At 32.1% G+C, this 13970-nt stretch overlaps 1 protein-coding gene and 1 long non-coding RNA gene across 16 annotated transcripts in view; one reads left to right on the forward strand and one right to left on the reverse strand.

The window, feature by feature from the left end:
• The window catches only part of CALCRL-AS1 (CALCRL and TFPI antisense RNA 1), a 544253-nt gene that overhangs the window by 472376 nt on the left and 57907 nt on the right, over nucleotides 1–13970 (forward strand). The gene's annotated exons all lie outside the window — the stretch shown is intronic.
• The window catches only part of TFPI (tissue factor pathway inhibitor), a 90206-nt gene that overhangs the window by 11419 nt on the left and 64817 nt on the right, over nucleotides 1–13970 (reverse strand). For 10 of the 13 annotated variants that reach the window (NM_006287.6, NM_001329240.2, NM_001329241.2 and 7 more), the window contains 3 exons: nucleotides 12689–12727; nucleotides 9163–9339; nucleotides 8476–8568 (listed from right to left, as the gene is read on the reverse strand). In NM_006287.6, coding sequence (NP_006278.1) covers nucleotides 8476–8568; nucleotides 9163–9339; nucleotides 12689–12727 — 309 coding nt within the window. Of the gene's footprint in view, nucleotides 1–2929; nucleotides 3156–8475; nucleotides 8569–9162; nucleotides 9340–12688; nucleotides 12728–13970 lie in introns of those variants that run through there. The other 3 variants (NM_001032281.4, NM_001318941.3, XM_047445623.1) reach the window with 1 other exon arrangement.

Below are 13970 nucleotides of genomic sequence, written 5' to 3' on the forward strand. Positions count from 1 at the left end.
GAAATTTTGTGATCTTTTTTTCAAGGCCACAGACTGAGTCAGCAAATAGCAGAACTGGAATTAAAAACCACATCTTTCTTTCTATAACGTCAATGCTCTCAACCACTAAGATATGTCATTCTGAAAACTAACTAGAAAATTAAGAAAATAATACCTGAGCAAAACTATTTTAATAATTTTATCAGATAAAAATAAAATTGTCACAACTTCTCCTTTAGAACTGATGTCCAAATTCCCTCTTTTCTGAAGCTCAGGTTCAGAACATGCTAAATGTACCATAGTCCACAGTTACAAACATGAAGTTGAAGTTTCCTAAGTTTGAACAGGAGAAAGAGTTCTAATCAAAATATGTCATCATACAAGGAGGCTAGAAACAAATCTTGGTGCAACAGTGCTGATTCAAACAGTATTTAGAGAGCTTGAACATTTGAAAGTAACAAGTATTGAGTTGGCATGGTCAACAGGGACTGATTCTAGAAACAACCACACCAAAGTTCCAGTCTTGCATCCATGTGATCATATCTGCACTGGTCACTCAGATCCATGTAATGCACTGGTCAATCAGATCCATGTAGTGGTATTAGATATAATCAAAACTGGAAACCCCACTTTTGATTAGATATAATCAAAAACTGGAAACCCCACTCCACTGTGTCCCTAGAAGAGGCAGAGTTGGAATTTTCCTGATCAACAGATTTTATTTATTTATTTATGAGAGAGTCTTGCTGTCATCCAGGCTGGAGTGCAGTGGCACAATTACAGCTCACTGCAGCCTCAACCTCCCTGGCTCAAGCAATCCTCCCACCTCAGCCTCCAGAATAAGTGGGTCTACGATCACAGGCCACCATACTGAGCTAATTATTTTATCTTTTGTAGAGAGAGGGTCTCTGCATGTCACCCAGGCTGGTCTTGAACTCCTGGGCTCAAGCTATCTTCCCACCCCAGCCTTCCAAAGCGCTGGTATTACAGGAGTGAGCCACTGCACCCAGCCACCATTTTGTATTAATACTTCTTAATTTCATTTCTGCAAAGATTTTCCATTACTCAAATAGAAAAAAGGTAGAGAATTACACACAACTTAGAGTAGCTCAAGTTTGTCTAAGCTATTTCTACCACATTACTAAGCTGCCCTACACCAGTCACTATTAAATTCATATTACAATAAGGATTTTTCTTTTTTTTAAGCAAAAGAAGTCTTATCAAATTAGTATTATTTATTAGTTTGTAGCTTGCATAGTATTAACTTGTAAACAATTTTTGGTTTATAGTTGTATAATGATCATAATGAATTTATTCCTACTATGTTACTGGTTCATACAAAATGAAAGTTATTTTAAGTAATTTGGCTTACAAATTGGAAGTCTGTGATTTTTTTTCCTTTTAAAGATATCTATATATTATTCAAGCTTGAGAAACACTTCTCTGGAGGACTTTTATGACTGGGGCAACAAATTATCTTGTGTTAAGACTAAAGATGGTCCAGGAAGAAAGGGATTAGAAAAGTAGACAGTGGTCATCTAGGGTGACTGCATTTTGATGGCAGTGATTTTGGCAGAGATGAAGTGCCACATTTTTGTTTCTCATCAGCATTCCTGTCAGGAAGTAGAAAACTTGCTGGGTGCTGTCCAAAACTTGTTATCTATTTTTGGAAAGCCAACTTGTCAGAAAATCAGAATATGAGGCTCCAGATTTACTATGCAGGCATCTTTAGATTATGAGGGATGTTCCTGTGCTTCTTGGTCTTAGAACACATTATGAAAGTCAAGATACTTCTTTAGAACTATGAAAGTGGACTGTGGATGAAGTGGGTTTTTTTTGTTTGTTTGTTCGTTTTTTAAGAACTGTAAACAGTGCTTGTGATGGCCTGTGGTATGCAGCTGGATGTGGAACTCTTTAGCCGGTGAGGGAGAGTTTCTCTCCAGAAAGTTCTCATGGTTTCAGTATTCCTCTACATGCAATCACACGTTCAACAAGAGGCGAGATAATAACAAGGAGATAATAACAATCTCATGCAGATTTATAAATTGATTATATCAGTGATTGTGTTTGGCTGTCCATTAGGCCCTTTGTGAACATAACACCTGTTTCAGAAGGCTAGTGATAACAAAAATCTTTTAAAAATGTATTTATGTATGCATAGATTTTATTTTCTATTTTTTCCACATAAATGGAATGTATGTCTGGAGGTCATACATTGAATACATTCAGGAGAGGGATAGAGTTTCAAGTAGCAAAAGGATCTTCAGGATGTCATCCAATTACTTTCCCTGGACCTGGAGGCTGGCAGGAGGCAATGTGGAACTGGGTCAGGTATATAGGAGTTCCCTTTCTCAGTCAGTGGCCAAATACTAGAATTGGGTTGGCAGTAGCTTTTTAAGTCTACCTGAATTTTCTTCCCCCCAGAATATCATAAAGCTGATGTAGTTCCAAGGCCCCTCTCAAGAGTTGATGTATGGGGCCAGGCAGAGTAGCTCATGCCTGTAATCCCAGCACTTTGGGTCAGGAGTTCGAGACTAGCCTGGCCAACATGATGAAACCCTGTCTCTACTGAAAATACAAATATTAGCGGGGCGTGGTGGCACATGCCTGTAATCCCAGCTACTCGGGAGGCTGAGGCAGGAGAATCCCTTGAACCTGGGAGGCGGAGATTGCAGTGAGCCGAGATCGCGCCATTGCACTCCAGCCTGGGCAATAAGAGTGAAACTCCATCTCAAAAACAGCAACAACAAAAAACAAAACAGAACAAAACAAAAACAAATAGTTGATGTATGGAAGCAAAGGGATGTATAAAAATCAGGAAAAAAATGACTTTTTTTCCATGAATAGTTAGGTCCGGTCAAAAGACTCACAACTAGCACGAACTCCTGAGAATATTCATTTTTCTTTGCTAGTTAGACATTTACAAGTGAGGTGCAGTGAGAAGACTATGTTTACTATGCATGTAAATATTAAAACTTTATTAGCAGTATGCTATCAAAGGCATCACGTATACATATAAATATTAAGGAAATGCCAAAAGCACAAATATTAACATAGGCATGAAATGCTATCCAATCCTAGAAAGAACATGGATGCATGAATGCAGAAGGCGTTCAGAAAGACTTGGTAAATATGAGCCGCATTCTTCCAACCATCATTTGTTCCTTCTTTTGTAACTGTGGATCACAAAATTGATAAATAAAAAATGTGAGTCATCTTTATATGTTTAACACTGTGGTCAATGCTGAGGGTGGGGGAAGTCTATAAACTGTATAGTACATTATGTTTTTCTTCAAAAAAATCTTGTAATCTAGACAGTGAGGCAGAGCAAACACAATATCTAATAGTACAAGTATTGAAGGAATCATAGTAAGAAGCCAGGGGAGAGAGACAGAAAGAAGGCCTCCTTATGGTAGTGAAAAGGCAGATTGGTTAAGAAGATTAGGAGGGTCAGTCAATTTTAGGTGGGGAAAATAACATAAAACATCCTTTAGAATAAGAGTGAGTAATTTGTGTTTAATGATAATGAAAAGGCCAATTTGAATGGACGGAAAAAAGTTATATTTAAGGGACAGAAAATATCTGCAATAGATAGAGGACTAGTGGACAATGCAGACAAATTTTAGGCAAGTGGATGAAGCTAAATTACCACATGATCGATGACTAGAAATAGGACAGTGATGTCAAAAAGGTCATGTATAATTTGTTACATATGACTGTTCCTTTTTGTCTCTCTCTCTCTAATATGCTTTAGTTTACTTATGTTAGATATATAATTACATTATGTGTTATATACAATATCTGAGTCATATCTGAGCTTTCTGATATCTATTTATTTATCTATTTGTCTCATGTCTATACAGCCTGGTTTGCCTAAGCCCCTATTAGTTTATGCTTATTTTGGGGGGATATCACGTTCATATATATATATATATATATATATATATATATATATATATATATGATTTAAAAATACTGAAATACTTTTAAATATAAAACTATTTTTGTAGAGTCACCAAAACGACAATTCCATTTTTAAGTCAATGCATACATATATTTAAAATAGACATATACCTTAATTTTTTAGCACCCTCTTTAACTATCATTAGTGTTCCAAATTGGATGACATGATTGTTTAGGGAATCTAACCATGAAGGATTGATGATCTGAATGAAATAAATAGGAATGAAAATGGAAGAGAGAGAAATAAACATTTCATAAAAAGCAATGAAATTTAATGAATGACTGGAAGAATATAAGTGATACAAAGAAAATTACTAATCATTCAAATTGGAATAACCAGAAAAACAGTAGAAGAACTCAAAAAGTTCGGAAAGTTGGAAATGTCGAAAAGATAAAGAACAATTATACAAATAAACATCTTTTGACCTTGAAGCCCCATGATACTCCTCTGTGACAATAATCTCAACTTGTTTCTAATGAACACATTCAAACTCTTCGAGTTTCCATATATGCATTAATTTAATTCTAGTATGAATTCTTCTTAAAATATTAGTCATGATTTTGAGACTGTATATTTACTGATGCATTTATCTGAATAACCAGAGACTTTATGAGTGTCTGAAATATAAATTTCTTCTGCAAATGGGAACTTACAAAGAAGTTGTTTAACAAATGAGAATCTAAGGCCTGGTGAATTAAGTGTATTACTCTGAATCACATGGATAATAATAATGAGTAACCCTACACGAACTGACTAGATATCAGGCACTGTCCTAAGAAAGTTATGTATTTTGACTGATTTAACCTCACAACACAACCTATCAACTTAGTACTATAATATTACCATCCTCATTTTACATTGGAAAGATGAAACTCAGGTTAAGAAATATCTTAGGGTCACACAGCTATTAGTTGAAGAGTTGGGAATTTAACGCATGTCTTCAGGCTCAAAGGTTTTTTATCTGCTATATCATTATTTCAATCATGGGGGAAATCAAGAAGAACCAGTTGTGATGGCTTTCAGTTCTAGCGTTTATGCGCAAAATTGCACACATTTAGGGAAATTGCTTTAGAAATATTTCAGGTGGAGAGAACACACATTTATTTTAACTACATGGATATACTCAACACAGCCAATCAAACTGAAATAATGCACTCACGCTCAGGGATATGCTTACAAATCATTATTTAAAATCTCTTTAAGGAAGAGTAAGACTGTCTTTGAGATTACCTAAATAACTTGTTAATATTGAAATGTGGAAATAAAAAGAAAAATTACACCGGAATTGTGCTTAGTAAGTATTCAAGTATCTCGAATCAAGAAAGCTTACTGGAAAAATATATCTTGAAAGCCATTTACAACATTCCAGTAATTAAAAATAAATAGCAATTTTTAAAAAGTCATATTATGATAATGTTTAACTAAACTTCTAAAATGCTTCCATAATATCATGAAGAAAAACATTAAAATTATATTTATAAATATTTCACTTAATAATAATTGAATTTTAGAATATTCAAATACTCTACTTAAAGATTGTTATTTAGTGGAAAGAATTTAAAGACTGGTATTCCATTTATGTTGTGGGGCAGATTATTATTCCTGTACATTGAATTGAAACTTTAAAGGATTTACAGCTTTTCAAAATAACCTGATACCACAGAGAACTTTACACGTTTGATAAAACCCTTGAAAAACAAAGTTTTATGTAAACAAAGAATTGCATTTTCTTAAACTACAATAGAATGTATTAATATAATTGTAAGCAGTGACAGATGTAATTATATTTGATTGGGGAAATTAAGAGGTGTCTGTAGATCTCAGCAAACCCCTCAGACAGAAGTGACAAGGGGTCATCTAGGTTTTAGAACAGAGTACAGGGACATCTGCATTCCCACTTCCGCATCTTGGCTGGGGCAGATTCGAAATCACGTAGGTTTTAAGAAGAATGGCAACATAGCTTCATTGACAATCCACCTTATGCCATCCTTAATATCAAATGTCTCCTAGTTACTGCAACATTGTTTCATGTTTTAGATTAGGAAGGAAGAAAGGGAGGGAAGGGAGGGGAGGGGCGGGGAAGGGAAGGGAAGGAAATGCTCTTAGAAAAAGGAAAAGGGGTCAAATTGGCCGGAGGAATGTTGATTTTGAGGCCAATATATACAATCAAAAATAAAACAGTTTTTTAGACAAATAAAGGAGACATTTGCCCTAATTTTAAATGCAGTTACGATAACATTATTCCTTAAATGTCTATTATTCTGAATAAATTATTGTTAATATTGTTTTCTTTTAAATTCATGTTGTCAATTCTTACTGCTTAGTTAATAATTTACTTTTACAAGCATTTATTTATTTGTTACAATTTTCAATGTGCATCTACACAATAAACTAAAGAAGACATATCAGAGGCCATTTAAAACTCATTAATATTACTTTCTCACACTAATTTTTATTTTGCCCTTTCTAACTTGGTAGTATGCTTACCAAAAATTTTAAATTTTATACTTCAAAAAAACTTAAGGCAAAATTATTCCCTAACCTACTCTACTCACTTTAATGATAAATGACTGCAGATCTCCACTTGAATTGGTAAAATAATTCAAACAAAAGTATTCAAGCATGTTGCAAACTGATTTCATACATTTCTTGTACTTACTGATATACTGTGTCACATGTATATTTAAACCTGTTAATTTAGTCATTCTAAATTTTCTTTTACAGCAGTAAGATTTAACGTGCTTTTGAAAATATAATAACTGAATAAAACAAAATACGAGTGAAAAATACAAAGCTGGAAAGACATAAAGAAATAATGCAACGATAGTACTTAATTTTTCAGATAAGTCAGAATCACAAAAGTATTAATTTTTACGAACGAAGTAGTATTTAAAAATTAGACTCAAGTTCATCTGGCATTCAATTCACTGCTCTACCTATTGAATGTAAGGACCTGAAGTCATTTTGAATATATCGTATTTTCCAACTCCCACTGAAAGTTTGCATCCCCTTAATGACCTCTTAAGTGTTAATTGCACACTTATTGAATGCCTACAATTTAGGGAATTTATTAATACCTGAGACAGCCATCAATTTTTTAAGATCTCACATAAGAAAGAAACATATTATAGAAAGGCATTTATACTTTAGTTCTCACACATTAATCCTCATGCTTAGGCTGGGTTGAGGGGGATAAGGGAGGATGGGGATGGGGGTCTGGGGAGGGTGTGAAATAGGCAGGACTAAAGGGTAAGTCATGTAGAGAACTTAATTCTCCTTTCACATAATAGTGTTTCAGTTATTAAAAGCACATATTATGCTCCCTCGTAGATCTCATGTCTCTTTACACTTTTCATTTCCTCTTTAATCATGTTTCAAATCCTCCTTGTGATTTCCAAGGTGTGACATTCAGTGCTGAAGCAAGACCCACAAATGATTAGATCACTGTGGGACTCAGCTGAACATTCACAGACTCTTTCTAGAAAAGTCGGAGTCAACATTTTAATGCTTCAAATCCACGTGGGCAGGGATTTTGTTTGCGTTCTGTTGGCTTGCTTGCTTAGTTGTTCGTTTGTTTGTTTGTTGTAAAGAGGAGTAGCTCAAAGCCAATCTGATTCTGATAAATGGCCAAGGTAGAGAATTCCTGGCCCAAACACTGTTTCTTTTTTTTTTATTATTATTTTAATCCTAAGATTGCAATTTTAATAGTTACAGAATTCTTCACACTCAGGCTAAGTTTATATATAAACATGCCAAGTTTACCTTTGACATGTTCACATGGACTACTTCTAAACAAAATCTTCAATATCTGAATAAGAATATGTGATTTTTATAATTTAGCTAGGATCTAACAATTTTACACTGGTAATTTTTAGCTGTTTATGTTATTTCTAACTGCCCAGATATTTGTGGTTCCTGATTATGTTTTCCAGTATTTTCACTATTTTCTCAGCTCTGCATTTTGTGGAAATATTTCCTGTATATTCGTTTAAATCTGATAAATAGGTTAACAGACAAGAACATAAAAAAGAGTCCTGCAGAATTCAAAAGAAAATTCCCTCCAGAGTGACATAACATTTAGGCATGGTTATTCAATCAATTTCTAATCTGTCCTGTGAGTAACACCAGAGACCTTGCCTAGTGTCATACTGACTTTAAAAGCACTTTAGACTGCGTTTGATGCACTGCTGTGCCAGTACAATGATTTACCATCTTACACTGAGGCTGATAATTCCTAGCACCATTTTACAAAATAAATTTGGCATAGAGTTAAATATCATATGAAAGTTTTTCATGTGATACATAATCAAAAGCTTACTTCAAAGCATACTTTAAAATAGATTAGGAAAATTGTTGCTTTTATGAGATTAAATGTCTTAAACAATTTGAATCTCAGTATTTCAACAAACACATTATTAAGCAACAACGCAGGTATATATATATATTTAAAGACATACTTCTAATACACAATCCACTTCATTGTTAGCATGATAATAGTTTCCTGGAAGCAATAAAATCCACAAGATTCTTACCAAAAAGGCTGGGAACCTTGGTTGATTGCGGAGTCAGGGAGTTATTCACAGCATTGAGCTGGGTTCCATAATTATCCACCTGGAAACCATTCGCTGGAAAAAAATACAGCCAATTAAAATAGATAAACATTGTCACAATCTCATATTTGGACTCATGAAGCGTACAACAGTTAAAAAAGCAGACTTCTGGCAATTTCATTCACATTGCTATGTTAAATTAGCAAACAGTGAATCTTTAAATATAATTGTAAGGTAATATTTCCATGAGTAACTGTAGTTCTTGGTCAAAAAAGCGTAGCAGTTAATGTTTAAGTCATCCCTTTAATAAATGTTATAGGCAGATAAAACTGAGTGACTTTAGGTGGTGGTTTTCAGTAACTGTTTGCTCTCATATTTGTATAAATGTGAAAGATTTCAGCAATTCTATTGTGCCAAAATTGTACTGCAGTATTCTCAGGAAGAAGAATTAAATAATGCAACATAAAAAGTATTAGATCTATGAAAATAATTTCTTAATTTTCTGTGCTTTTTAAAAAACTACAGTCACAAATCTCACATTGAATGCACACAAATATATCTTCATTTGCATGGCTCAAACAAAACCTGAGTATAGAATGCCATCTGAGATGCCTTAGTTTTAAAAGGATGCCTATAAATGAACTAAAATGAAATAAGAAATAAACTTACGACCATCTTCACAAATGTTCTTGCATTCTTCCAGTGTCTCAAAATTGTTCATATTGCCCAGGCATCCACCATACTTGAAACGTTCACACTGTTTTGTCTGATTGTTATAAAAATACCTGGTAATATAACCTCGACATATTCCAGGATCTTCTTCCAAAAAGCAGAAATCTGGCTTTTCTAGAAATTATAAAAATGTCAGAAAGCAATATTCTTTTGTGTAAATAAATTACTGATTTTAATAAAATTTATAAATACCTGGCTAAGTTATTGAAGGAGTAAGCATAAAAATTAAAAAGTAAAAATCTAACTTTATCCATAAATATACACTATTAAAATTATCTACCATATTTTGGGATTGGCATTTCAAATTCTAAATTTCTCATAGTAAATTAATAGGGAATTAACTGTCATTTTTTTACAAATTTAAGGAATAAAAGATTATTTTACCATGTACCACTCTTGCTTTGAAATTACAAAACATTATGGCAAAAATGTGGTTTAATTATTTTTAATATGTTCATGTGTATTAACATTTAGGGAAGGTCTATGAACATTTCAAGCTATTGAGGGTGGCTTCTCAGGAAAAGCATTGTAGTGCGTTGCTCCATTAAGAATGGTTTAAATTTTTAAAAGTTGAAAAAGAATATTTGAGGGGTAGGAAGTTTTCATGGCTAGCCTTAGAAGTTCCTGAATTCTTATGCGGGAATTAATATCTGTACTAGGTAGGACATCCTTTACTGCTGTGTCATTTTTATTTTTTCCTTCTTCTTGTCATTGGAATGACTTCAATAATGCAGAGGCAGAAAGGAAATACATGTTCAAGGATTGGAGAGGCTTTTGCAAAAGACTAATACTTCTTCTTTGATAGTGCTCCAAAGCAGGCTAAACACAGCTGTCATAAAAGTTGTGCCACTGTGATCTACATCACCAGCTCTGTCTACATGCATGCACTGTGAAAAGAAGTGAGCTAATTTTCAAAATTATTATGCTCACAGGCGTATTGGGCTTGAATTTTTAGAACAAAATTCCAATTTCTCAATTTTTTTCCTGCAAGTATATTACCATATTGGCAAAACTGAACTGTGGTAACCTTTTTTCATCTTAAAGCAACTTGTTCTTCTATGTCAGGGAAGCAATACCCACAAGTATTTTACAATAAAAAAGAACATGTATTTAATAATGTTAATGATTTCTGCAACAGTTGCAGATCTGCAAAAGAACAAACTCCTTATTGAAAAGTTATTTTATTAAGTAAAACTTCCTACTATAATATAGTTTTAAAAGTCTATTTTCTGTAACTTTTCAATGTATTAATTTGAAAGTTAACTTTGTTTCTTCTGTATTGCCTCTTGATCTTTCAAATGAATGTTTTTATGATTTTTAGTTAATTGTAATAATATGTGGGGGAAAGGAATAAAACAATTCTTTAAAATGTTATAACATTTTATAAGGTAAAAATACATTGAATTACTATCATATGATTTGTTTTAGTCTTAATGTGTACTTTTTATGAAATTTTAAATGATCTGAACAGAGGATACAAGAACTTTATGTTTGCCAAAAGTGGATGGAGGAAAAATATTGCATATAAAAAACATAAAGGTATAAAAAATTATGCTGATAAGTATAATTAAGAAATTATACATGTACATAAATATATACACCTAATATGTACCCACAAAAATTAAAAATAAACAAACAAAACCACAACAAACAATAAACTGTACAACTGAAAGTTGTTATTTTTCATATGAAACTACATTGGGAAACATGAACTTATGTGAAGACAAAGTTGAAAATGGACACATGTAAAATAATTCTTTTTTTGGCCTGCAGTTTAAACTACAGTTGCAAATCAAAAAATTAATTTCCCATTTTCTTCAGGTAAATAAATTAACCTTCTTATTGAATTTGCATACATAACCCTTGCTCTAAGTTGGTGCTCAGTTGCACTTGAGTAACACAGAATGCAGACTGGATAAGCTAAAGCATTATCACTGTCAACTTTTGTTTGGGCCTGAATACTTGGGAATTGTCTTGGACCAAACTTTCTTTCTAAGGGATTGTATTAAATCTCAAATCTCTTTATAATGGTCCAATGCTAGGAAGCATAATACAAAGTTCACTCGAAATTGATCAAGTCTTTGTTACAAATAGGTGTTAACATGTAAGCATTTTTAACATTCATGTGAACACAGCTTTATTCTCTAACTTTCATATATAATATGAGATAAGAATGATTGAATTCTGAATTATAAATATACACTTTATAGCATAATTTTACCTAAAAATAGTACCTGTATTTAATTTTTCTCTAATTTTATGTTTTTGGTAAAAGGTCCTAATATTTAAAGGTTGGTATTTTCTTTCACAAAAATATTTATTCTCCTTTGTAGACAAAAACTTCTTTATTATAAATATGCCATTTTGATATTACAGATAAGGCCTTCATTTAATTAAAGTACTAAACATTTTGGTCAAGATTATTTTAATATTTATAGGAATCTATTTTTTAAAATTGTAAGTACATTTAGTTATGTTTCTTGTACAAACTTTGCTATTATCTTTATTTTATACATTTTGATTCCAATTCTGGTCAGTGAATTGAGCCTAAAGATTATCAATGTGTCACAGAAATTTTCAACTCTTTCCCACATAAATAAATCAAAATAAATAAAATTAAAATGCACTTTGAATTTTGTGGTCTTTCATGTTGCGGTCTTTCATGTCCTGAGTTAAACAATTTAATCTCTTTGTTCAATATTTTCTCATTGAAATGTAAATGCCATAACTGACAATTGGACCAAATCAGTTTCCAGGCCTTTATTAAAAGGACGTTGGTTTCCCTGATCCATTGATAACATTTTTTCTTGTGCTGATATATTTGTGAAAAAGTAATTATTTTTAGCTAAAAACAATAAATGATATGATTTAAATTACACAATTAAACATACACATACATGCTAGATATTTATTTTTAAATATCTCTACTTACTTTTGCATGTATAACTGCTGACAACTCAGAGACATACATCCATTCAAGGGAATATTTGGTGAAACTTGCTAAAGCCACACAATGTTGATTAGATTAACAAGTGATTAGAGATCAGAGAAATAAAGTTAAGACTCAAAATATCTAAATCTCTATCTGGAAGGTGTTAAAATAGCATGTGTGGCTCTGGACTATGATTGAACTAAAACTAAATATCATACTACATTAGAATTAGAGTAAATACGGTGTTTGGAGCCTCCTCTGACAAATATAATGTATATATTTTCCTAATTTTTGATTATGTCCATTGAATCATGCAACAAATCATTTCAAAAATGACATGATCAATCTGTCATATGGGTTTATGATCAATCTCTTTTATGGATTTTTTTAAATCAATCTCAGAGAAACTTAAGAATTGAATATCTATACTGAATCAGGGACCAGAAAAAACAAACAAGCAAACAAACAAAAAATTGAATATCTAAATGCCTTACATAAATGCTTCAAATTTACAGACAAATAAATGTTCACCTTGTTGCAATGTTGTCTTTATAATCCTGTTTGCATTATCTGTAATCAAAAGAATATATGCATATCAATTGTCACAATTTATAAAGTAATACTATGAATTTGAATTTAACAAACAAGAGTGACATATTTATTACCATTAAAATTATTCTTATACAGAATGTCTTAATAAAAATTGAATTTCTTTTTCTTTTCTCTAAAAATTAATCTTTTCTATTTATTGTAACCATGAAGCCACTTCATTTCAATAGAGTAATGTTTTAGAAACTATGATAAAACTTTCTAACACACTTACAAAGCTGAGAATTCATAGTGACTATGTTTACTGTTCAGGATATCTATACTTAAAACAATTATTTTAAAAATGTGAAATATGAAAGTAATTCAAGCAGCCTACATTACATATAAAAATAATTTGTTAGATAACTGGGAATAAAAGTGAAATTAACCAGAATTATTTCCTTTCCTTATTCTTTCCCCTGCTTCGTTGTCTCAATCCAATTGCAAGTTTCATTATTATTACCAATGTAGAGAAGAAATGAAACAAAAGGCATCTGGGACACGTTGTTTGGTTTAACATTTGATTAACGGAATCATTTCCCTCTAAAACTGGAATGTTAGTTGTCTTTGTCCTACCATATTCCAAGTATGAATTCTAAGTTCTAATTTAAATGATAGGTAATGAAATTTAAATTGACAAAATAAATCTATGAAGTTTTAATTTGCTCGCATAGACATTAGGAAAGTTGAGTGGTATTTATTTTGTTGTGGAATTATTTGTTTTGCAGAGAAAATCTTTGGTCAAAGCAGGTTAGCATTCGTTATATGACCAGAGAGATAGAAAGGGAGCGAGAGAGAGAAGGGAAGAAAGAATGAGAGAAATAATATGAATTGGGTTATAAGCCTCTTTCAGCAACTGCATCATCCTTTTTTTCTTGAAATAGTTAATTCTTCTATGGAGAGTAAAATGTCTATGAAAGTGAAACTAACGGACCCAAACTTCTTTTCTAATTGTACTATGTTTTATTCAATAGCCTTTTAAAAAAAGAGGTGTGTGTGTGTGTGTATATGTATAGCTGTATCTATTGAGGTAAGTTTTTTGGTTTACTTTGTTTTCACTGCAACTAACCAACTTCATATTAATGTTTTCAACTAGATTGTAGACTGTCATATAACCTGACATTAAAATATTTAGATATAAAACTAATATGATTTAATTGATAAGAAGAAAGAAATGTATACATATAATGAGTACATAAGACTAGAACACTAAGCAATTTTCATT

This window comes from Homo sapiens, chromosome 2 (genome assembly GCF_000001405.40).
Source record: "Homo sapiens chromosome 2, GRCh38.p14 Primary Assembly".
Classification (NCBI taxonomy): domain Eukaryota; kingdom Metazoa; phylum Chordata; class Mammalia; order Primates; family Hominidae; genus Homo; species Homo sapiens.